The sequence below is a fragment of the Homo sapiens genome, chromosome 3 (assembly GCF_000001405.40).
Source record: "Homo sapiens chromosome 3, GRCh38.p14 Primary Assembly".
In the NCBI taxonomy this organism is placed as follows: domain Eukaryota; kingdom Metazoa; phylum Chordata; class Mammalia; order Primates; family Hominidae; genus Homo; species Homo sapiens.
Genome location: NC_000003.12, coordinates 78,854,299 through 78,879,650, shown reverse-complemented (window position 1 = coordinate 78,879,650; position 25,352 = coordinate 78,854,299). Strand labels below are relative to the sequence as shown.

The 25,352-nt window shown below is 34.8% G+C and overlaps 1 protein-coding gene across 18 annotated transcripts in view, besides 1 other annotated feature; it reads left to right on the top strand.

Moving 5' to 3' along the window:
- The window catches only part of ROBO1 (roundabout guidance receptor 1), a 1,170,760-nt gene that overhangs the window by 888,348 nt on the left and 257,060 nt on the right, over positions 1 to 25,352 (top strand). The window lies entirely within an intron of this gene.
- Positions 3,458 to 3,752: a silencer, noted in NCBI's record as "tiled region #6803; HepG2 Repressive non-DNase unmatched - State 23:Low". NCBI's record gives its function as "represses a minimal TATA promoter and a strong SV40 promoter by Sharpr-MPRA in HepG2 cells {active_cell/tissue: HepG2}" and the evidence as "EXISTENCE:reporter gene assay evidence [ECO:0000049][PMID:27701403]".

The window sequence follows — 25,352 nt, the reverse complement described above, 5'->3', positions numbered from 1 at the left end:
TTTTTTTCCCTGAAATGGTCAAAGGGGCATGTGCTTGAACATGTGAGCCAGCAAAGCGTCTGCGGTTCTAATCCCCTAATTAGGCTATCATACACAGATGGTATTTAGTTCTTTTTTTTTTTTAAATGAATGAAAGCATGTGGTAATGATGTTCATGAATTTTTATAAGATAAAAAATGCTACTTCAGTTTTGCTTATATTTGCCTAACCTCGTATATAGGTCAAGCCATGAGTGGAAATATGTGAAATTTAATATAAATAGATGATGTCATTATGTGCAGTCAGCTTGTAGGCATGATATATGTGTAGACATACACATGCTCCCTGTCACACATATATCAACTCAGATCCAGTATACACGATTTAAAATTTGAGTTATTTTGGTAGAGAAATGAGACTTTCTCATGTCTTCAACCCTGCGTGTAATATCATTGTGTTATAAATATCTGCATCCAGTTTTTAGTTATATGCTTTATTAATATTTATTAAGTCCAACTTAGCATAAATCAAAAAATTTGTTACACATACCATTTAGTTTAGTTTAAAATGTTTTAGGCAGAAGTATAGTAGAACACAGTGAATTAAGGAAAGAGCAGACAACTGCAGGAGCAAGACAGTGAACAAGTTCAAAGAGCAGCAACAACAAATACAGTGACTAATTTTTCCCCACGTTGAAAGGATAATATTGACACAAAATATCCAAGTATGCACTTTAAAATTTTGGTTTTTGTAATTGCACTATTTTATTTATTTATTTGTTTATTGTCATCTGCTAACTATATAGGGAAGTAGGTACTTTTTACCTAGACTGTAAAAGGTGATATTCAACTTTTGGTCTACAGAATCTCCTATGAGTTTCCTATTGCATTGTTTGTGGTTTTTGAAAATAAATGAGAGTTTTAGATAGATAAGTTGCTTCACATACTCTATTTAGCTTAAGTATGATACTGTTAACTTTTTTATGATTGAGACAGTAACTTGTCTATTTTATTTTGGCTGGTTATTTCCAAGGTAGTTAAAAATACAGGTGCCCATTATGCAGTTTTTTTTTTTTTTTTTTTTTTTTTGAGATGGGGTTTCACTCTTTTGCCCAGGCTGGAGTGAAGTGGTGTGATCTCGGCTCACTGCAATCTCTGTCCCCCAGTTCAAGCGATTCTCCTGCCTCAGCCTCACAAGTAGCTGGAATTACAGGCACCCACCACCATGCCCGACTAATTTTTGTATTTCTAGTAGAGACGGGGTTTGCCATGTTGGCCAGGCTGGTCTCAAACTCCTGACCTCAGGAGATCCACCCGTCTCAGCCTCCTAAAGTGCTAGGATTACAGGCGTGAGCCACTGCGCCTGGCTGCAGTATTTTAAAATTACACATCTCACAGCTTTTTAGTATCTTGCAAGGTCTGTGGCATTTAGACATTGGAGTTTTGCTGAGGTTTGGGTTTGAACTGGAAGGTGGGTTTGGGAGTAAATTGTTTTCATTGTGACAGCCTGGATTACTCAGCATTAGAGTATTGTTGGGTTCTTGGTATTTTAAACAAGAGCATTCCTAAAGTACTATCATTTTTAATTGAGAACGATGGCCCTCAAGCAAAAGAAATCCTTAGTGAAAATTGATAAGGTGATGGGAGGATATGCATAGGAAACGTCATCCAGCAGGTTCAAGAGGCTGTCGGAAGCCAGATGCCTGCACAAATATATGCTATAGTCCCAATTTGGAAATCCTAAATAAAATGCATTTTTAGTTGAAGTAGGTGTAAAACTTTCAATGTGGCACAAAATTCAAGAAGTGTGAGACAATTTTATACTAATGTTACCTTTTCTCAGCTCTTATTTTTCTCAGCTCCAATAGCACATATTGGAGGCTCCTCCATGAATATGTTACTTTTAATTGTTGAATAATATTTCATTGTATGAATGAAAAGCAGGAAGGCTTACCTTGTATTCAAAGACACTTTTTAACTCTGTTTACAGGGATACTTTAGGAATGGTCTGAGAGATACTAAAATTAAAAATCTAGTTAGAAGTGTGCAATAATGCTCACATTACTTTAAACTATTTTAAAAGTTAGACCTGTGCTATTTTTTAAAATATACCAGACTTATTTTTCTTAAGTATTTCTTAAGATATCTGAATATCTGTTTGATTTTTTTTCTTTTTGAAATTCAGCCTAAGCCAATGTACTATTTTTTTTTCATTCAATTAGATTTATTTTAGGGATGTTTTTATTCTTGTTGTTATTTCATATCAGAGAATTGTTCTAATGAATAGAACAGTGTTCACTGACTTTCTTTTGTTATTCCATTGTCCTTCCATTCTCTTTCACATGGAAATGTTAGTTTTACATCAGAATTTCTTGTTCTCAATAGATGTATTCTTGGAGGTCTTAAAATGCTCCACAATAATTTCTTTTCTATGTTCTTTTTCATTTATTATACTTTAAAATGTGGATATTATATGTATGTCCCAAATTACCAAGTCTAGTATTACAAAATGTCAGTAACATTGATTGCTTTTGTGTTTATCATTTTAATTTTCATTTATCTATTTAATAAATTGTATTCACTGGCTACTACATGTCAGGCCCTGTTGTAGGTCGCTGGATCTAGCAGCGATAATACTTCTTGCTTATGTCCTATTGAATGTGCAGAGATTGTCGTAGACACCAAGCCACATAATAATTGGCCTTAAACAAACTCATGCAGTCACACCTAGTTAATCCCAAATGATGTTATTACACTTTGAATAAAGGGTCTTAATAGTTCAAATAGAAAAAAAAAAATCTAGTGGAATTTTAAAGATACACCTTTGGTTTAGAGTCTTCACGTATCTATTCTTGTATTTATCTGGTTTGACCAAATGTATTTTTGTATTTTAAATGTAACACAGCAGAGTTTTCCCAGGATGTATTCCTATAGACTATTCCACAGTACGTTCTTTACCATGTTTCCCGTGTTGACGTTGAGTGGTTGTCATCGGACAGCTGTATTAGTGACTGGCTTATTTAAGAGTATCTTGACTTTCTATTTGGTTTAAATGTGGAATTTTCATGTATTCTTATGTGGTTTTACTTTATCTCACATTGGATCAATTGAATTTATTATTCTAACAATCATCAGTTGTATCAATTGCAGTGCATTACGTGTGTAGCAAAATATTTGAAAGCCAAATGCTAATTTTTTACTAAATTTTTTACTACCTTAAGATGAACTTCTCTGAACTTATTAATAGACTATACGACAATCTCAATAAGCACAACACATAATCAAGTTAATTGGTCTTCATAAAAACAAGATATAATTATGGCTAAGTTGATACAGTTTTTTAAAGATTTTCTTTCTTCAAGTATAGTTGTCTCTAAATCCATGCACTAGTTTATGTTTGGTTACACTCTGTAGAACTATTTTGAATGCTATAAAATTTATCTTTCTTTTGAAAATTTTGCATATGTTACTATGCAACTTGATACTTTTCAAAACATGGAAATAGTTTTGAGTTCTGAAAATACAACATCATTCATCCTTGAAGATTATTATTTTTTCTTGACTACATAACTGTGAGTAACCTTTCCTTTCTATTCCTGGCACTTTGTGTTCTCTAGTCATTTTACTGTTCTTATAATGTGAATAAGTCTTGCACACTAATTCTGCATTCTTTATTGGTGAATCTTCATTAAGTAAGCCCTGATTTATATTTACTATGCTGATATAGTTCTTTTGGCAAATGATGATTGATTTCAGGTAACAAAATCTGACACTAAAGTAGATTTTAAATTGTACAGATTATACATGTGAAGGACTTACTAATAACTCCTTTTTCTTTTAGTTGTTAGTTCCTAACATGTGTCAGGTAAGGGCTTGATATTTTTCACTTTGATTCTGCTTTTAATCTCCAGGTGGGACAGATTTTCATGCTTCTCTCTGTAACGTTTTGCTTCCTAAAACCAAATTGAATGAATGTTCTGATGTTTGGAGACTGCCAGGATACTTGGCCAGAATTCTGATAGTTTTCAGTTGGCAACATACCCTCTCTTCAGTCTTTTTTGGACTGGTGGACGTTTTGTAAATATTTCCATAAGCTATTCCGAGTGCATGCAATTGATTTTTTTTTCTATTCTAGCTTTATAAGTTAGTAATCAGTGAAACCAGGTTACCCTAACTATAAGGCTTCATTGTTTTTCAATTTACATTTTATCTATATCATTTATATAATGTCACGATCCCAGACTTTATGGTTTATTTCTTCATTTTATTTTAATTGTGTTGAGTTTGCTTTTGCTCTCAAGCTTACTAATTGTCTCTCTCAGTCTTTCTCCATGTCATTTGATTTTTATCACAATTGCTGATCTACTATCCAGAAAACCTAATGGGTGTCATGATTTATGTTAGTGATTATTCCTTTCCTTTTCTAATCATTTATAATCTATTTTAAAAATGAATCACTTCATAAGAAGTCCGAAATTAGTGCCAAGATCATTTGTGTACAGACTGAAGACTCATCTGATTTTGTTTTTCAGAACTTTAAAATAAAAAATTTCATTTCCAAGTTTTGGAATTCTCTAATTTTCCCATGACTTTTCAGTAGATTTATGATAGTTTGGTTTAACATTGCAGTACAGTTCTACACACCTCATCTATGTTCAGATTTCTATCTTTAAATGTATGTTGAAGCTCTCATTTGTTACTGGATTCATTTATTTGTGCATTCTCAAAGTGAAACAGATGGGTGTTGAATTTGAATATAAGATTATTTATTTGAATCTAATAAATAAATAGAATAGAGGTATTTGTTTTGAGGTAACTATTATTGAGGTAACAATAGTCTTATTGTTATTTTGACAACATAAATAATTTGAGACAACTATTGTGGTTTATGAATTTTCACTGAGATTTTGATCTGTTATAGAAAAGAATTACTTATAATGGTTGATGCTAATAGTAAAACTGACTAACTTGTTAGTTTAAATTTTTTATATTTTAAAATTCTAGTTCAATTTTTTAAATAAATGTTTTTGAGCTAATAATTAGTATAAAGCAAAAGTAAACCATAATATAATGAATACTTGAAAGTGTATGACATAAAGTTTTCAAAGATTTATTTGCCCCTGCATTTTTAGCCTCTCTAGTACTGGTTGTTAAGACCTCATATTGTAACTATAATATATGTATTATTACGGTGTATTAGTATTATATACATTAGCATTTGCATTATAAGTTATAATGCAAATTTTGAGGTAACATTTTATATAATTTAAAATTAGTTTTAAGTTGGCTTTTAAAAAGTTATTAAAAGGCTATGAATTTTGAGAAAAAATTATCTTACCTCACCATTTTTCACAACATGGAGTTTTATGTGTGTAAAATAATACAGCATATTAATGAAATAAAGGTGTATTTTAATAAGCAGTTGCCTAGTAAACATTTATTTAGTACCTACTATGTGCTTGCTAAGTATATTTGCACTGGCTAAAATTCGTTTTCTTAGAAGTGCTGCAATTTGATACAGTGATTGAGTATATTTTAATACCTAATCTGATTCAATATATTGTTTTGAAAATGCAAGATGGAAAAATCTTTGCTTATGCCCGTTGCTCATACTTTAAGGTTAGTAATTGAAGTCACATATCATTAAAAAAAAAATCCTCTCTTTAAATTTCCAAGGGGGTATGTGATAAATGGAGTATGGGTTACAGAAACAAATTGAGTTTGAATCCAAATTTAGACAAGTTGCTTGATTTCCAAAGTCCTTGTTTCCTCAGCTGTAAAACTGAAATGAAAGTAACTATATTAGTCATAGTATTGCTGTATATATTCAGTGAGACAATTGAAGTGTAAACTTTCCAGCATAAAGTTATGGCCCAAATAAAAGTCACGTGAAAAGAAACAGATGAACACAGAAAATGAATATTCATTAACTCTTCAACTTTTCTTCCCAGGAAAGCATTTTTTAAAAATTTCCTAACCTCGCTCAGGAATATACATGATAGTAAGTATTAGTTGTTGAAGAAGTATTCCTTTATCATTTAATTTTATATTGAGCCCTTTATATGATTCAAATATTAGAAATTTTTGTAGGAATATTTTCCAAAATTGGCTTCGTATTTTTTATTTACTCATAGGTAAGAAGAGGTTTACTTGGTCGCAAGCACATGACAAGTAATTAAACACGTTCATACACTATCACTCTGGAAAAAAAAATTGGAATTCATGTTTTTGATGTTGTTTCAGCTGGGGTTTCAATTCATAGACAGAATTCTGTGGAGAATCCAGAAGTGAGATCTAACAGTTTAGCCAGCTCATCTATTTTCTTTTCGAAGGAAGAGATAGGACAAAATTGGATATCTCCAGAGGGAGGTCCAAGTACAGTGGCACAATGCATCCCCTTTTGACTGACGGAACTACCTGAGTTCCCTTGGAGAGACAAAGGAGGAAAGAAAAGTAGGAAGTAGAGAGAGGCTGACTGATTTAGAGACTTAAACATAACCCTTTAATATATAGAGGTGAGTTTTCAATATTCCCCCAAGACTGTTTTTGGGAGGGAAAAGAATTTAAAGTAAATAAAATAGAATATGGGATTCTTAATATTTATTCCACAAAGGGAAAGAAAGGAAAGAACATTATCAGGTAAGTCTTGTTTAATCCAGGCATTTTTTCCTTTTCTTAACTGTAAATGATGTACTATTTTTCCTGAGGTAAGAAATATAAACAGATTACAATTTGTAAATCTTACAAAGACCTATTCTTTTGAAACACCCTTACTACTTCATATTATAAGTATTTCTTCACTTAAGATTTCTGAAGTGAGAAACATTGTTTTGGGAATTACCAGTATCATGGGAATTTCTGTAACTCTTATACTCAAGCTATTGAATTAAATAAAACCTTGGAAGGACAAATGCCTTGATTTGTCCAGGGAGCTTACTGATAACGTGAGTGTTACAACCTGAAAACTCATCTGCTTTTAAATACCTAGGCACTGCCCCACTTCCTCCCTGACACTTTGTATTTAATTTTGAATTTTTAACTAAACAGAATTTCTTCTTCATTGTGCTTGTTTGATACAATGTTAGGGTTGCAAAGGCAGTTAATGATTGTTAGGAAAAGAAACTAATCCTTCTCACTGTCAAACATCAAACAGAAGGTCATCAACCTTGTAACAATAAAAAAAATTCTTTTGTTCTTTCCCAGTCCGTTAGGATTCCAGAATAGATTCAGATTGCAGCAGGGGAAGTTGAAACAAGAGCAGAGCTGGAAAGTCCAGACAAGATTATCAAACCAGACAATTGTGCCTTCCCCCAAACTCAGCGTAGCTGGGAGTCACTTCCCTATCAAAGCACGCAGGCAGTTCTGGGAAGGTTGTCTGTGTTCCCCCAGGAGTGGCCCTACTTACTGTAACATCAGTCAGGTTTGGTGGAGGATGGGTTGAGGAGAAATGGAGGGGGATGGTCAGAACAAGTAGTCACAGAAAAGAGTATTTGTTAGAAGTCAGAAAATTCCCCAGGCTAGAGTATATGTAATCACAAGTCTCAGAAAACAGTGATATGCTAGGCAACTTATGCTCACATCTTATAAAATAGTTGCAATAAAATAAGGCCCAGAGAGACCTAGACTCAACCTAAAGTCTCATATTGTCGATAACATAGCAAGTGACAGAAAAGCTCTTGTGTTTAAAATAGATGGGTCATGAATTTAAAGCAAAGACAGATGGTTTTCTTTCATTTTTATTGTGTGTTTTAATATAGTTGAGCATCAGCAGCATGATATTACAGCAATAGGTGGGGTAATTCCACTTTTAGGTAATAGATATAGAAATTCTTAAATAGGTCTGTGTCAGACCAAAATTTTTCATTAGTTGGTTACTTTTTTATAAAACCAGAAACCTAGCTTTACAAATTCTTTTTTTTTTTTTTTTTTTGCTGTGAAAGCTTATAAATGCAAATAATGTCTTTTTCTAGTACTGAGCGCTATGAAAGGACAGTAGATTCAAAAATTTAACTTGCATTCTTTTCACACATTGTAAAAACAGAATTAGAAAAATATAAGTATAATACAAAGAAAATTGTGCAAAAGTAGCAACCTAATTTTTATCAGATCCATAGTAAAATGTATGTCATCTTATTTAAATTAAGTAGCACTGTGAATGAAAACACACACACACAACATCATCTTGTAGCAAAATCAACTGATGCCGTAGGAAATTAGAGCTAAGATCAGAAAGCTCCGTTTTTCATCCCTTAAAAGGAATTTAATAAACCAATAGAAAGGATGAAAACCTAAAGCATAAGATGAAAATCTAAAGCTCAGTGTATTCTAAATTACATAATAAAAATGAAACTGACTCACATGAAAAACCACAGACCTTCCTAATGACTGGCTCTGAGAAATGTGGGCTCATATGTAGGGTTACAAAGGTAAACCAGGCTTTATGACACTTCCCTGTGCCGCTCTCCATCCCTCTCCAAACATTCACACTCGCATGGGCATCAGTGTCTTCACATGGCTTTGGGTTTGCTTTCTTTCAGAAGGTGACTCTTGGAATCAAACAAGCAAGTGCAGGTTTTCTTAACAGAGGTGATGCAGCATCTCGTATTTTTGATAGCACCCTAACAGCTAACGAGAAATGTAATTTACTGGGTGCTTTCTATATTCCAGGAATAGACCTAGTACTTTACATATAATATATTACTTGCCCTTTAAAATAATTTTATGAAGCATGTGTGGTTATTTTTATTCCTATTTTGCATATCTGGAAACAGGTTAACAAAGGAAAGAAAATTTCATCGAGGCCATGTAGCTAAGTTAAGTAGAGGGCCAGGTCCAAAGATTCAGGTACTGTTGGCTTGTGACACTTCTCGGTCTCTGCTCAATGGTTTTTCTTGCTAACAGTATTTTGAAATTACCTCAAAAGCCTTGTGTTCACTCCCAGAGGATAAGTCCTGATTGGCTCAGCAATTTTCGCAATCCTTTTAAAATCCTTGCCATTGATGATGGGCTCAGCCATGATTCCTGTTTACAGAGGAAGTTTGTTCTAGTGCTTCTGGGAAACATTTCCTTTTGGTAAGGCAGTGCAAGGGAAAGCCTTTTATTCCTACCAATTTCTGTCCTTTTGAGGACATTCTTGTGTAAGAATCATTTCTTCCCTGTAAGGCAATGCAAGAGAATGCTTTTTTACTCTTAACCTCTTCTGTCCTTCTGAGAATACTGTGTGAGAATGAGATGCTTCAATCTGCAGGATTCATCTTTTGCTTACAAGAGGAAACATGGAAAACACACTTGCATGTAGAAGTCGTAAGTGAGAGTCTGGGAGCTTGAAGATAGTATTGAGTATCAGAACAAACCCTAATATCAGCAACCTCTGGAATTATTACTAACTTAACTTCATTACGGTATTCTGTCACTTTTAGGCAAATGGACGGGGTTGGGTCAGGACCTCTAAGGCAAATCAAGTGAACAAACCATGAGAGAGACAAAGGTGGTATACAGATTTGGTGCAGATGAAAAATAACAGTGAATACAAATGAAAGACAAAAATGCTCCTTAAAAATAAGATTGTTCTTTGCTTTAAGTTTGTGACCTATATTTTCCATAAGATTTTGTTTTCTGTTGCCATGGTATCAACTTATTTCCAAAAGCTATAGAAAGGCCAGGTGTGGTGGTTCTTTGAAAACCATATTATAAAATGCAATCCAAGTTTTTTAAAGTTAAGGAAGAATTTGAGGTGAAAGTTAATCTTAATTGTAACAATCACCAATAATTTCTAGTGCTTACTATGTGTCAGGCACTGGTTTACATTTATTAATTTACTAAATCCACAGAACAATTCAGTGAAGAAGGTATTACTAATATTCTCTCTTTGAGATTATGAAACTGGGGCTGAGGTAGTTTAAATAAATATGCCAGGCCAGGGGTGGCGGCCCATGTATGTAACCCCAGCACTTAAGGAGGCTGAGGCAGGAGTATCACTGGAGCCTAGGAGTTTGACACCAGCCCTGACAACATAGTGAGACGGCCTCTACCAAAAATTAAAAAAAAAAATTTACCTGGTGTGGAGGCGCACTTGTGGTCCCAGCTACTCAGGAGGCTAAGGAGAAGGATTGTTTGAGACCAAAGAGGTTGGGGCTGCAGTGAGCCATGTCATGCCACTGTAACTCCAGCCTGGCAACAGGGTAAAATAAGCCATAGAAAGCATCTGAATCCTTGAAAGAATGACCAAATGTTGATGAGCTATACACTAAAGTTACTCCTCATTACATTGTTTCACTGTAGCATACATAAAGAAAGATCAACGTTTGTTTAAAATGTATTGTTTGTGGGTAGAAAGCAAATATAAAATTTTAAAACCCTTATCACAAAAAAATGTTGGTTTAAATGGAGTCAACCCATATGATATTACACATAGGTTTAATTACTGGGTAAGTTGATCAGTTAAAGAGGCAGATGAATTCAAATTTTTTACCCCTAAAAATATTGGGGTTATAACGGTGATAAAAATTTGAATAAGGTAAATAGTTAAACTTCAATTTCATTGAATTGTTTGTTGCAATAAAAAAGTTTCTTAAAAAAAACTATAATGCTTATTTGTCCCAAGTTAAAATTTTATTTAATTTTTTTATTCTTACTCTAAAGCAGAAGTAACTACATAACTTATTGTCTGATAGCAAAAATTCCTTATTGATCAATATGTTTAACATCACTTTTTGCAAACTTGAGAAAATAAAAAAGTTTATAATACAGACATAAGTTGTTCTTGTTCTATCTACACTTCTTTAAAAAATAACAGGTTACATATTTAAAGGGGAATATTGCCTTTTTGACATCTACATACCCATTGTTCTTTCTAAGCTTTTGTTCACTAGCTCAGGCTGAGAATGGATAATTATATGTAATGGAAGACAGCTGTGATGTACCAAGTGTGTTTTTTTCCCCTTTTATGCTGTGCTTGAGTGCATAATTCCCTTCCTGCTTCAGTGTTATATAAGGCTCAATTTTCCTGTGTTTATTTTATCCTGAAATTTTAGCATGCGGATTTTAACAATCAAAATCAATTATAGTTTTGTCTCTACCTTTGGCTAGTGCCTTAAGTTATGGATTAAAGTGTGTGATCTCTAATACCAGACTATGTTGTTAAAGAAGGTGATAATTCTTCTGTGTATATTAAAAGCGATGCCACTATTTAAAGAAAAGACAATAACATTTTAAACACATATTAAATTTATTTCTGTTATTATTTAAGTAGGGTATTGGGTAATGTCAACTTTTTTGGTAGTCTTTTTTTTTCTTTTTCAATTCCAAATTAGAACTTGAATTTATTTTTTCATTAAGACCTCCAAGGTTTGCACTGACATCATTCATAGTATTTAAAGTAATCTTGTTACTGAGTATGTTGCAATGTTTACCATATTCATTTTCTTCTGTGCTCTGATCTTTTCAGTACATTACTGAAATAGGAATATGGTATTATCACATCTTGGCAGCTCCATGTGCTCCCTTTCCTCATGCCCTTAATTCTCTCCATATACCTTACGTCAGTAGTAATTGGGTAATTAGGCAGAAATGCTGTCGCCTGAGTAAGGGTGTAAGAAATGTCTCATTGAACAGAATAATCTTTCTTTGTACTCATGATTCATTTTTGATATGCTACAACTCTATCAGCAGGGAAACTTTCCTCCCTGTCGAGATTCTAACAGGCCTTTAAGACAAGAATAGACGGAGAGGTTCTGTTATTAGTCTCAATTCTGAGGCAAATTGTGTTATTCTTCTATAGTCACATTTTCTGCCCCACAGTATGAGATTTTCGGAGATGGCAGAAAAGTCTTCTGTTGAGGGTTTTATGAATCACAAGATAAGGGTTCTATTGTGGGCCACTTGAAGAAAATTTGTAGCTGATTTGGCTTTTAAAAAAGCTGGAAGGCATTTCTGGAAGTCTGAAGAGCTCACTGGGTTATTTGGTTTCAACTCCATTTTGATGCAGTGTATAGATATCCGGAGCAAAATGCCCTTCCGTGGAGAAAATTCTGTTTCTGGCTATCAGTTGCATCATGATTCCCAAGCAAATAGCTGAGTAAAAGAAAACATCCCTTAAAGACTCTACTGCATTCTTGTAATAAATCACAAAAACATTGGTATCAGCTTTCTTAGTCATTCTGTGAGACTATAGTTAAGAATATTTCCAGATGTGTCTTACTGAAAAGAAGGTAATTTTCTTTCATGCACAAGAGATCCTTTCTTAACATAGAAGGGGAAAAAAAATCAAACACTTTTTAGTCCTCTGCAGGTGACAAAATTTCAATTTCCTGTATTCTTAGACTGCTAGCATTTTGCTCTTATCCCATGAGAATGAAAGGAGATATAATCATAAGTCAACAAATACTTCTAAGGTAATAGAAATGAAGGAGGCAGTTTTCCAGTTTCCTGACAAGGTAGCTTCATGGAACAATAATCTGAAGAAAAGAATGCACAGGAATGGAACTGATTGCTTGGGCTTGCGGTAAAGAAACGATCCCTTCAAATATTCAAGTTAAGGGCAACGAATTTCCTTAATGAAATACTGAGTTGTTATCCAGGATAAACAGAAACTTCAATGGAAATAATGTCCCAATTTGTCAAAATTAATGATAGACCAAGTCTTTCAAATACAAATGGCAAACGTAGTGGAAATTTTTGTCTTCTTGTAATCGCATTCTTGGTTAGTGGTAACTGAAGCACAAATGGATCTATTACAGTCTAAAACTCTCCTGCGTAAATTGATGCTACGTGTAGTATCACAGTGTGACACCAGTAGAGATCTTTCGTGGTCTAGAATTACAGACTATATTTATTTTTCTCTCCCATTATCCTACTCCTGCCCCTCTATTCTCAAGAGATAAATGCAATATAGACAGAGCCTTATATGAACTATCACTATACATCTCCATTTTAAAACCATGTAAGTTAAGGTGTGTCTGTATTCCCCAAGGATTATGTGAATACTTACTAAACAATATAAGAGTTCAGAGATTCCCAAATGTATTTCATTTTAGTCACCTGGACTACTATGCAAATTTACCCTACAACAATGCATTATTACAAAATATATCTCTGGTTCTAGCTCTATATAATATTAGCTTCTTTATTTTATTATTTTTTAAACCATGTACATTCAAGGAAATGGCATGGGAGGGTGCGAATGGAAAGAAGGGTTCTATAGTCTATAAATTTGGCAAATAGAGGCAAAACAGATTTCTTAATGGTGGCATTTAGCAGTCCTATCTTCTCTACCTTATTTTGGGCAAGGCATCCCTTTTTAGGCACTGGTGATCCGAGGGACACCCATGGGAAATGCTGTCCTGTATGAATTTTTTCACTCACACAAATATTAGTATTTATAAACAATGAAATAGTTTTCTAAATGCTCTATTGCTTTTGATTGACAAATGATTGTTATTCATCTATAATAATTTTGTAATATTGTTGTCTTTTATTCCCTTTTCCTGTTTTAAATTTAATTATAAGCAGACTGACAATTACAAGTATACAAATATTCATATAAAATACAAAGAAAATAAGTATGTTTATTTTCCATCATGCACAATATTTTGAGTTTGCTTGATGAACATGAGACAGATTTTCCAAGAAATATCTTTGTTACAGTTGAATTTGGCTGAATCCATCTGTTACATATAGATATTGATACAGATATTAGGAGATCTATATGTATATCCTCTATTCGAGAGCTATGTCCAGTGTTTGAATGTAAGGCTAAATATACTTTATATTGGAATGTTGGTTTGTCAACTAAGGAGTCTTGTCCTTTTGAGTTAGCAAAGTGTAACTCTAATGAGCTGTAAATGTATAACTGTATTATACAAGACAATATGTTATATGTATAGTAAAAAAGAGTTCATCCATGGCCAGGCACGGTGGCTCATGCCTGTAATCTCAGCCCTTTGGGAGGCCAAGGCAGGAGGATCACGAGGTCAGGAGATCAAGACCATCCTGGCTAACACGGTGAAACCCCGTCTCTACTAAAAATGCAAAAAATTAGCTGGGTGTGGTGGCAGGCACCTGTAATCCCAGCTACTCGGGAGGCTGAGGCAGGAGAATCGCTTGAACCTGGGAGGCGGAGCTTGCAGTGAGCCAAGATTGTGCCACTGCACTCCAGCCTGGGCGACACAACGAGACTCCATCTCAAAAAAAAAAAAAAAAAGCGTTCATCAAGCCATGAAGTTTTTGTGAGACATTCTTAGGTTAAAACTAGAACAACAGATTTATGTAACCCCAAATGAGTAAAGCATATGGTGGTGAGAAAATATTTTATCATTTTGATATTAAAGTATACTCACTAGTTGTGATAAAAATCAAAACAATGTAGCATTTTCACCACAGAAGTATTGCTGTGACATTTATGGCAATTTTCACAGCAATTTATTGTTATTTATTTGGCATTGATTATACATTTTGTTCCAGTTATTTGTTTTTCCCCTAAGTACTGCTCAAAGGGATCTGTGGTTGAGTACTCCAGTTCAAATTAATAAGTCAAATATGAAGACATACATCCTGATCTAAACAGTTTCCCACAAGCCAGGCAAAATAGTTGTGTAGTATCACCAGTCCAATTCAAATAATGTATCACATTTGAAAATGAGTGAATGGTAATGCAAAAATAGAAGTCTGTTTTAGTAAAGATATTGCCACCAAATACAAAAAAGTAGCGATCAAACGTGAAAATTTATCAGGTGAAAGAAAATTATAGCCATTTTTTCAAACCATTTATAATCACGAAGATCTTATAATTAAACATTGGGTAGTAGTAACCCTTTTTCTTTATACTTCTTTTTTTCTTGCTCTCCTCTGAAAGAAAAATCTTTTTTTTTTCTTGTGTACAAACAGGGTTAAACTAGAGAGGTGACTTAAAAAAAAGTTCTACAAAAGAACATAGTGTATGTATGTATATATACACACATGTGTATATATGTATATATACATACATGCATTACAGTTAAGATGAGAGGTATAAATTCTCATGATATTACCATTAGATACTAAAATGGTTACATTTAATTCAAAATACATGTATTTACTTCATCCAATTTTGAAAATGAATTTCAAGGTTAATTTAACTTCAATTTAGTAATTAGGAAATTAATCAATGTTCAAATATTATGCATTGCTTTGTAAAAAGTAATGCCTTCTTTATTCCCTTTTTTGTGTCTGAAAAATATATTTGCATGTATGCCATCTTATAAATTAAATGTTATTAAAATTACTAAGGTATAGGACCCTCATGTATATGCTTCCTTGGGGATATGCTATATCAATTTATATAGAAATTCCATCAAATTAAATTGCTTCCACTAGGCAATTAATTTGTCTTCACTTTAATAAACATTGTGGATGCCAGAATTATTTCTTTTGGCTAAGAGCTACCATCATTCAAGGCAAAGGAAAGAGTTCAAGAAAAGGTAAATGGCATTCCCTTATAAGCCATGAAGCCAACTGTTTGTTTTGTTTGCTTGTTTTTAGGAGGAGAGGGATGAATAGGATTGATTAGTGTGGTTTGGAAAGTAATAAGTTAACATATTCCTCCTGATGAAGAAGGAGTAAATGTAATTGTGAACTACGTAAATAGCATAGAAAGCAGCAAGCAAGCTATCTGAAGGCCCTTATATTGCTATGATGGCAGTAATCCCTTAGCACTTTACAGGCAACAGGTTGCTGTAACAATAAATTTTAATTGCAGAACATAAAAAGTTATGTTATTCTCAGCTGAATCAGTGTGCCATGAATTCTTCCATACTATCCCAGATGAGACATATGTCAATCTAGCACTCACCAAAAATGATTTTGACGGTGGAGGGACTCTCCCATCCCTAACTCTTTCAACTCCTGGTAGTTGGACCAGAAATAGCTTGCAGTGCAATGCCGACTGCATTTGTTGGGTATATTTTGGCATATTTCCCTAGCCTTCTAACTAAAAGCAGCTGAAATTTAACTGAAAGAACATGGTGGACTGAAACCAAGTATATGAAATTTCAGATTCAAAGAATCCCCTGAAATGAAGAAACTATAAAACAAGTGTAATTTTTGGCTTTAGTCCTGCAGTTTCTGAGAGGAGCTGTTGGCTCAGTGGTAGGGAGATTACCTTCCCCAACCCCATGCATGCAGTTGACAGTCCCTCGGCAGAACCTCCTTTGCTGGCTTACCCCTGGCTAGGTTTCTGCATTCACACGGTTTCTTCACACATAGTTTGCACATTTCCCCCCTGGCTGCTCCTTCCTGCACTTAGTTGTAAAAATCTGAAAGTTGGTAGGGAAAAATACAAGTATGGGCTATATAAAATAGGAGAGAGTTTCAGTGGATGTCATAGGCTCATAGAGTTCTAAATGGATCAGATATTGATAATATTTGTCTCTAAATTGCCTGTGGCCTGTACCACTCACTAGGTGTGAGACACAGGGCACGTTAGTGAACTCATTTTTCCTGTTTCCTCATCAGAACAATAGAGACTTAGAGAGACCATTCTATGGGTTTACTGAAAGAATTAAATGAGATATGCCATACAGAACATTGCCTGGTTCAGAGTAAGTACTCAATAATGACTTTCCGTAATCACTGTTGTTGTTTTTCTAGATATTAAACTGCTATAGAAGTAGTCAGTTATTTCTTCTGAAAACTGGATCTTATTAGGGCAGCATTAGCTTAAGCTTCATTAAATAATGTCTTCAGAATTCAGAGCTGGTCCTTGATATTTCTAAGCTGCTATTTCTCAACTAATTGGAGTAGAGAAAGTATGGAGGGGAATTTAGGGAAATGGTGTATCAGAGTTACCAAAATGACATGATGCTCTGGAAATTCTGATATAAACATTCCTCACCCAAGTACTACCCTCTGCTAATTGCTGAGAGGTTTATATCATATCTCTGAAGTATCTTCAGGGTAGAAAAAAACTAAGGACCATATTTATAAATGATTAACTTTTAACATATTTAAATTTACCAAGGCTTTCCTTGTTGTTGACTTTTCATGGATTAATCAATCCTATGGTACTCTAATACACTCAGATCCTCACATCCTTGACAGTACTTCTGCTTTTAATTTGTTGTAGTATTTTTCTATTGCTGCCTTCACAAATTGCCACAAATTTAGCAGTTTGAAACAACACAAACTTAATATCTTACAATTTATGTAGGTCAGAAGTCTGAGCGGGTTCAGCTGGGTGTTTTGCTTAGGGTCTGATAAGACTGGAAAGAAGGTGTTGATAGGGCTGCGTTCCTTATTCAAGGCTATAGAAAAGAATTCACTTCCAAATTCATTCAACTTGTTGGCAGTTCAATTCCTAGTGGTTATCAGAATGAGTTTCCTATTTTTTTTCTCTCTCCTGTCATTCAGAGGCTGGTCTTTTCTCCCTAAAGATTGCCTTTATGCCTTCTCTTGCTTTCCAGGTGGCTTCACTCCAGCCAAGGTGGTTGAGTCTGTCACACTTAGAGCCTCTCTGACTTCTCCTTTTCCTCCATCTTGGGGTCTAATGCAAGCAGAGAAAATTCTCTGCTTTTAAGAGCTCCTGTGATTAGATGGGGCCCATCTAGATAATCTAGCCCACTCTTCCTATCTTAAGTTCGGTAACCTTAACTACATCTACAAAGTTCCTTTTTTTCATGCAAGCTAGCATATTCACGTGTTCTAGGGATTAAGGCATAGACATCTTTGGAGAGCTGGTCTGTCCATTACCCTTAGGTTGTTGTAAATCTAAATATTCTAAATATAAGCCATAGGCAGGCAGCCTTTCCCTGTTCCCTTTTCTCACTTGTTTGAGCAGCTTGTATTAAATATCATAGGATGCTTAAGAAACTTACAGTCTATTTGGGGAATAAAATCTATATATTTCTAGATATAAGGGATTTCAGAGCTATAAACAAGGTGGCTGAGGACACAAAGGAAATTGCAGTTATTTCTAATGGGAAGAAAAGAAGATCAAAGAAAGAAATCTCTCTTGAATAGGTAGCTTTTGAAGTATGTCCTGAAGGATGTGTAAGGGAAAGGTATTTGTTGTCTTATGAACAACATAACATGAGAGCAAAGACATACACTGTGTTCAGGAAGTGGCATTTTCCGAAGATTCATGGCAATATGTAATGAAAATGGGAATTTGTATAACCTTGTTAGGAGGTTAGAATTCTATAGTAGGAGGCAGTGAAGCTTTTAAACCCCAGGAAATAATGATAAAAGTCATGTCCTAGAAAATTAAAGTCTAGTGTCAATGTGGGAGATGACTGGCAGGCAGGACTGGTTGGAAGGCTGTTGTGCAGAAGGCGTATTAGAAGCTAGGATTGTGCCGGTAGACATGGAAAGAGGCAATTATGTTATAAAACACGTTCAGGATGTTGAATTGAATGTGCAGAAAGGTAAATGTAGAGTCAAGATATGACGCTTTCTAGCCTCAGCAACTGGGAAAGGTGAGGCCATTATTCCAAGATTATGGAGATGTGATGAATAGATTTTCTGAGTGAGAAGATAAGGAGTTTGGATCTGTGCATTTAATACAGATGTTCATGGAATGTCCAAAAGTAAAAATTTGAGAAGGAAATTGAAAGAGTTTCAGGCCAGATATATCTATAGGAAATTCATTAGCATAAATATGATAGTTGAGACAAAAGAATGGGTAAGGTCATTTAATGAAAAAGTTAAGAACAAGAAGCCTGAAAACTCATATTGAGACTAAGTAAGGCTAAACCACATATGAAAATGAGGTAGAAGAAATTTAGTGGGTAAGAGCAATCCAGATGAAACCATCTGGGATACCTGAGAAAAACTCCCACAGTGAGACTTCATAACTGAAGATAGAATTTCGGGTGAAGGTGGGAAAGTTTCCTCTCTAGGAAAAGGTAGCATTTGCTGGAGTGAGTGCAGCTGCAAGTAGTAGTGGACAGCTAAAGATTATACCTCAAGGGTTCTGGAAGGTTCTCGCATGGGCTAAAAATGTACCTCTGGTGGAGCCGAAGCCCACATGGGATGCCACATGGGATCTGGGCAAGGAAAATGAATCAGGGCTGACGGCCCAGTACTGGTTTCAGCCATGTCAATCTGTGGTTAGACTAGTTACTTACATTGAGGAATCTTTCCTCTTTAAGCTCATTTACTTCTATCCTTGTATTATTATGATGATTTTGTTTTGGTCATCTCTCTTAGTCTCCTGGTAAAAATTCTTTGAGGGAAAAATCCATGTTTCCTCTGAACCAAGGAGAAAGTCTTTACTCACAGGTAGACTAGAATAATTAGGGACATCATTTGATTCTTGAAGCAGTGGTTCTCCACCATTTTCCACTAGAAACACCTTATGAGTAAAAAAAAAAAAATATATATATATATATATATATATAGTATATTTCAATTTTCCTCTCAAATTTTTACTTTTGCACATTCCATGAACATCTGTATTAAATGCACAAATCCAAACTCCTTATCTTCTCACTCAGAAAACCTATTCAGCAATCTATCATCTATCTATCTATCTATCTATCTATCTATCTATCTATCTATCTACCTATCTACCTACCTATGTTCCCTTCTTTCCTAAAACCCCTTGTGTCTTTTTTTTTTTTTTGAGACGAAGTCTCGCTCTGTCACCCAGGCTGGAGTGCAGTGGCACAATCTCAGCTCACTGCAAGCTCCGCCTCCTGGGTTCATGCCATTCTCCTGCCTCAGCCTCTCGAGTAGCTGGGACCACAGGCGTCCGCCACCACGCCCGGCTAATTTTTTGTATTTTTAGTAGAGACGGGTTTCACCGTGTTAGCCAGGATGGTCCTGATCTCCTGACCTCGTGATCCACCCGCCTTGGCCTCCCAAAGTGCTGGGATTATAGGCGCGAGCCCCTGCACCGGCTCCCCCTGTTTCTTTGAAATGCACTTAAGCTGACTTTATTTCCCAATGCCCCTTCTTATTGCTATCACATACTGAGGCCCAGCCCACCCAGTTCCTCTCCCTCATGCAGTAATAACTTTAATAGCTTGTTTATTGTTTTTATTTCTAATTCAGTGTCTGTCACCATCTTGGAGATTTAAACACCCAGTGACACCTTCAACACTTTGGCCTTTCAGTTGGCTGACCCCCTTAGCTACAAAAATCTCTTCCTCTATATTCCCTTGGTCCTATTCTAGATATTATCACTATAGGTTGAACAACCAACATTCAAAAATCTGAACTTCACAATATGAAAGTTCATATTTTGAACTTCACCCTTCAAAATATGAAACTTTTTGAGTGCCTACGTGCAGCCTAAATCAGATTTGGGATTTTCAGATTTGGGATGCTCAGCCAGTAAGGTTAATGCAAATATTCCATAATTTCTTTTAAAAATTCAAACTCTGAAACACTTCTAGTTCCATGAATAAGGGATACTCAACCTGTACCAACAACTATACTTTCTTCAAAACCTAAGCTTCAAACTGTCTTTTCTTACATTTATTCTATTGGCAGAACTTTACTTCTAAACACACTCCAGCTCTATCGGTAATATTTCTCTCCACCTCCACTACTGTCACCCTGGCATGACTCACTTCCTCCTGCGGTACTTCAGGGGTCTCTTTCCAGTCTCCCTGCTGTAGTCCACTTGGAAACCCTGCATGGCATAGGACAAGAGTTCAACAGAGAGTTGTGGAATTAATGAGTGATTTACGCACGTTGAGAAAAAAGGAGGTTTGAGATCAAAGCAGTTCACAGAATATGTGCTGAGGTAATAACAGTCACTCTTAGACACTGCCTTCATTACTTTTTAAGTCCTAGAACACCTGACATCTAGATTTGGCTATTCATATTTATTTCATTAGATGAAGTGTTTTGGATACTCACCTACTCTCATTTCAGGCTCCCGCTTTCTATTTTCCTTTTTCTTCTTTTTTATGTTTTCTGGCGGGGGGTGGGGTGGGGGAGGTGGACGGAGTGGGGGTCAGGGTCTCACTCTGTTGCCCAGGATGAAGTGCAGTGGTGAGATCTGCAATATCCACCTCCCGTTCTCAAGCAATCCTCCCACCTCAGCCTCCTGAGTAGCTGGGATTACAAGCCTGCGCTACCATGCCCAGATAATTTTTCTTCTTCTCCTTTTTTTTTTTTTTTTTTTTTGGTAGACAGGGTTTTGCCATGTTGCCCAGGCTGGTCTCAAACTCCTGGGTTCAAGTGATACATCCACCTAGGCCTCCCAAAGTCCTGAGATTACAAGTGTGAGCCACTGCATCTCACCCAGTTTTCCACTTTCTAAGGATCTGCAGCTGCTGAGACTGGCCAACACTGATTCATGACATTGTTTGGGCTAGTGACAGCAGTTTAGGTGACAGCATAGTTCATCATCAACAGTCTGCCTTTGGTCCTGGTGAAGGAGGGGTCTGAGATGACTGAAGAGATGAATGAGAACAGTTTTAGGGGTTTGGGAATTAATCTCTTGCTCCTGATTTCCTGTGGTGTGTCCTGTAAGGGAATGACTGTCCCCGGTTGTTCCTGCTTTCTAACTTTATTTAAATAAGTCTCCTTATGAGCTAGCCACACTTAAAGCCCTGTCCCCCTACTCCTCGCTGTTTAATGATGAAGACCTGTTTGTGGGCTGACAAAGGTGGGGTGGTGAGTTAGCTGGGAGCTGGAGGCATCCGATATTTCAGTCTCAAATCTTGACAATATATCAGGAATTTCCTGTGTTCTACATGACAGTTGAACATTTGTCAGAGTGATGACCTTGAGGCATTGTAAGATTTGGTAACATCAAAGTTTCCATTATGTTCAGTACACTCTCTCTACTGAAAGTAATCCTTCTAGAAAGTAATACTGATTTCAGAGAAAAAGGGTCGCCCTTAACCAAAGGCCTTATGAGTTAACGCCTGGATTTCAAAAGAGGGAGACCAACCTGGGTTCCCATCTAGTTTCACCAATTCCTAGATGTGTATCCTTAGGCAAATTTCCTTAATGCTGTGAGTATACATTTCACTGTGCACCAGCGTCACCTGGAGGGCTTGATAAAACACAGATTTCTGGCCACGTCCAGAGTTTCTGAGTCAGCAGGTCTGGGGTGGGGTCTGAGAGTTTGCCTTTCGAAAATGTTCCCATATGATGCTGATGCTGATGCTGCTGGTCTGGGAAAAACACTTGGAGAACCACTGCCTTAACTTCTTTAAGTCTGTTTTCTCATATCTAAAACAGGAATATTTAGAGTTGACATCTTTGGGGCTATTGAGAATAGGGGACACTTCAAAATACCACACTCAGAATAAGGACTCAATGGATGCTAACTCTTAAATTAATCCTTATGATTAATTGTCTAAAGCATAAAACATTTAAAATTTTAAAATGTTAAGTTTTTAAGACAGCTGATTAACCTACTGTGATTGTAAGACATATTTCTCATATAATGTGTACCCATGTCTAATAGATAAAAATGAAACTTGCCTATGAGGCTACAACCTTTTTTATGTAGACATTTTCAGTACTTTACCACATTCATTTGTTTTCACAAATTTGTTGTCTAATGATTATGCCACCCATTTGAGGCCTAAAAAAGCAATTTTTAAAAGGATGAATATTGTGTGAATAAATGTCATAAATAATATTTATCATCAGAGCTCTAATTGTTGATTTTTGAATGAGTATAGATACAAATGCAATTGTTTTAAAGACTGACTTGTCCAATAAAATTAGCCTTTAGTTAATGCTGTAAACATTGTTAGAAAAAATCAAAGCTTAGTTTGAAATGAGAATTTTAAAAGATTAAAAATAGGCCTAGGAGGTGCTTGTTAGTATTAGAGAAAATAATGGTGAGACTTTCCAAATGTCTTTCTTTTATAGGATATTTTGGCTATCTAGAATGCGCAAATGTATTTTAATAAAATGCAGATTATTCATTAAACTGTATATATAAAATATATAAAACATTGAACAGTGTTATATGAAATATAATTTTTAAAAAGAAAACACTTTTTTCTTTCATTATGTACTAAACATAAAATATATCAAAGGAGATTGGGTAATTTTTATTTTTATTTTTATTTATTTTTATTATTTTCTTATTTTTATTAAGTTGGACTCCACCTAAAGGTCAGGGCACATAAGTAGATATAGACTTCATTTGATATAGCTTGGACTCTTGCAATTATTGGTTATACGCTAAATGTTGAGAGAATTAATTGCATGTCCTTACAATGTTTGGGTTACCTTGAAAAATTCAATGACCTTCAAATTTATGATACTATATTTTATCTCTCAGGATGACATCCTTGTAATAAGCATAGGAAAGTTATTTGGCTTCAGATAGCGTCTATAGTCTTCTGGTGACATGTTTATTCACTTTGTTTATGTGGTTGTTCTTGGCCTTTTCCCCTGGATTTTCTCATACTGTTTTTTTTTTTTTTTCTTTTTTTTGCTAGGTTATTTGTTGTAGGTTAAATGTACCTCTCAAGTTTAGCTCCAGTTTTTGTGTTCCATGTAAAAATGTATAATGAGGCCTAGAAACAGTAATACAGATTTTGTGTTTAAAACTGATTTCTTATGCTGAAAACCGTAGAGGAATTACAACCATCATGTAGATTACTTAGGAAATAGATCTTCCTTTTAGAATGTAATTTGTTACTCTGAAGCTTGAAAAAAAAGAAAAAGGAAAGTTCTGGTAGTGTGTCATTTCTGAATATTCCCTTGGAATTGACTATATTTTGAGTTTTAAATTTTTCTCTTCTTAGTATAATAAAAACAGCATGTAAAAGTAATTTTTGATCCTGATAACGTTTCCTGGTTTCATTTCCGTTAGTATTTAAAAAGGAAAAAAAAATATTCTCCAAAGTTTTCATAATTTTATGTTGACTGAGTGAGGTGTTTGTGATACTTTTTCTTTTGCAATTCTTTGTTCATATTAGGATTTTTTAAAGCAATTTTTTTTTCTGTTTAATGATCTTTAAAACAGACGTTTCTTCCTTGTTATTCTTGTCTGTGACCTAGTCTTAAAGTTAAGCTTCAAGTAATGCTAGTTTATCAGCTGTAACAGGATACAGCATGAAGTCTGAGCAGAAAAGTTTAAAGACACATAATAATAAGTAAAGCATAGCTTAGTGAGGTTATCTAAGAAATTTTAACTCTTAAGGACCATCTAATTTGAATACTTATGATATAAAATGTTAATGAAAAAATCCACATATCCTAGCAGTGCGGAGGTGTTTCATTTGTTTAAAGCAAATAATCTATCCAGGTATTGTGGCACTGGTGAACTTGCCTTGGTGAATTTACAGTTGCCCAGGCTCTGCCTGACTTTGCAGGCTTGGAAAACTGGTTTGTTAGCACTCCAAGAGCAGATCTAATTCTCAGAGTAGACTTACGTTAATCAAGCTCAGAGAGACGTATTAGTATGTGAACCAGAATGCTAACTTGGGCACTTAGGTTCTCCAGACACCAAATCTGTTTTGAATAGTCGAACTACAAATGCAGACTCCATTTGGGATACTGCTGGGTGAACATGAAATCAGCGTAAGTGATCAAGGTACCATTCAAGTGTTTAGTGGCTTCAGGCTTATGGTCCTTATGGCTTTTTTTTTTCAAATCAGACACTCTGTGTGTCCCCAGGAAGGGATAAATCATGTGCTTATATATTGGCATACTCTTCAGTGGATCATAGTTGGATGTTTAATCCCAATAAAACTTCTGTTCTATGACCTTCCTTTTGTTTGTTCTTTTGCTGACCAACTCACATCCTTTTCAAGATAAAACCATGTTTTTTAAGATAGGTTATATCATTCTATCGAAGTACAAATAAATTTTGGTTCCCTGGAAAACTCTTGTTTGTCCTATGTTTTCTAAAACCTTTAATATTTTGGCAAACTATAAAAGTTAGTTGAAATATGTGAAAGGAACCTATAATCTTCATCGCATTTTTTTAGACAAATTTCTATATTAAAATTGTATGCAATTGCCAACGTGTATCACCTTGGAAAAATTTTAATATTTGCAATAAAATGATTTATTCATGAGTTGTACTATGAATTTCTAAGTCTTGTAGTTAAAACAGTTTATTGCTTGTTTCTAATTATAAAACTAATACATGCTTTTTCAAGAAAATCATAGAATAGAGACATGAATAAAGAAGAAGTTAAAATGTATTAATAATCCTGCCACACAAAGAAAGCCCTTCTTAATATTTTTGCATATATATTTTTGACACATAAAAATATTACTTGACTGTTAAGTGATTATATTAGTCAGGGTTCTCCAGACAAATAGAACCAGTAAGATATATGTCTCTCTCTATGTGTACACACACTCCCACACACACATATATATTATATGTATGTATTTATATTTTTATATACAACATATTATATATAATAGTAATAAATATATACTAATAAAAATTATATTTATAGT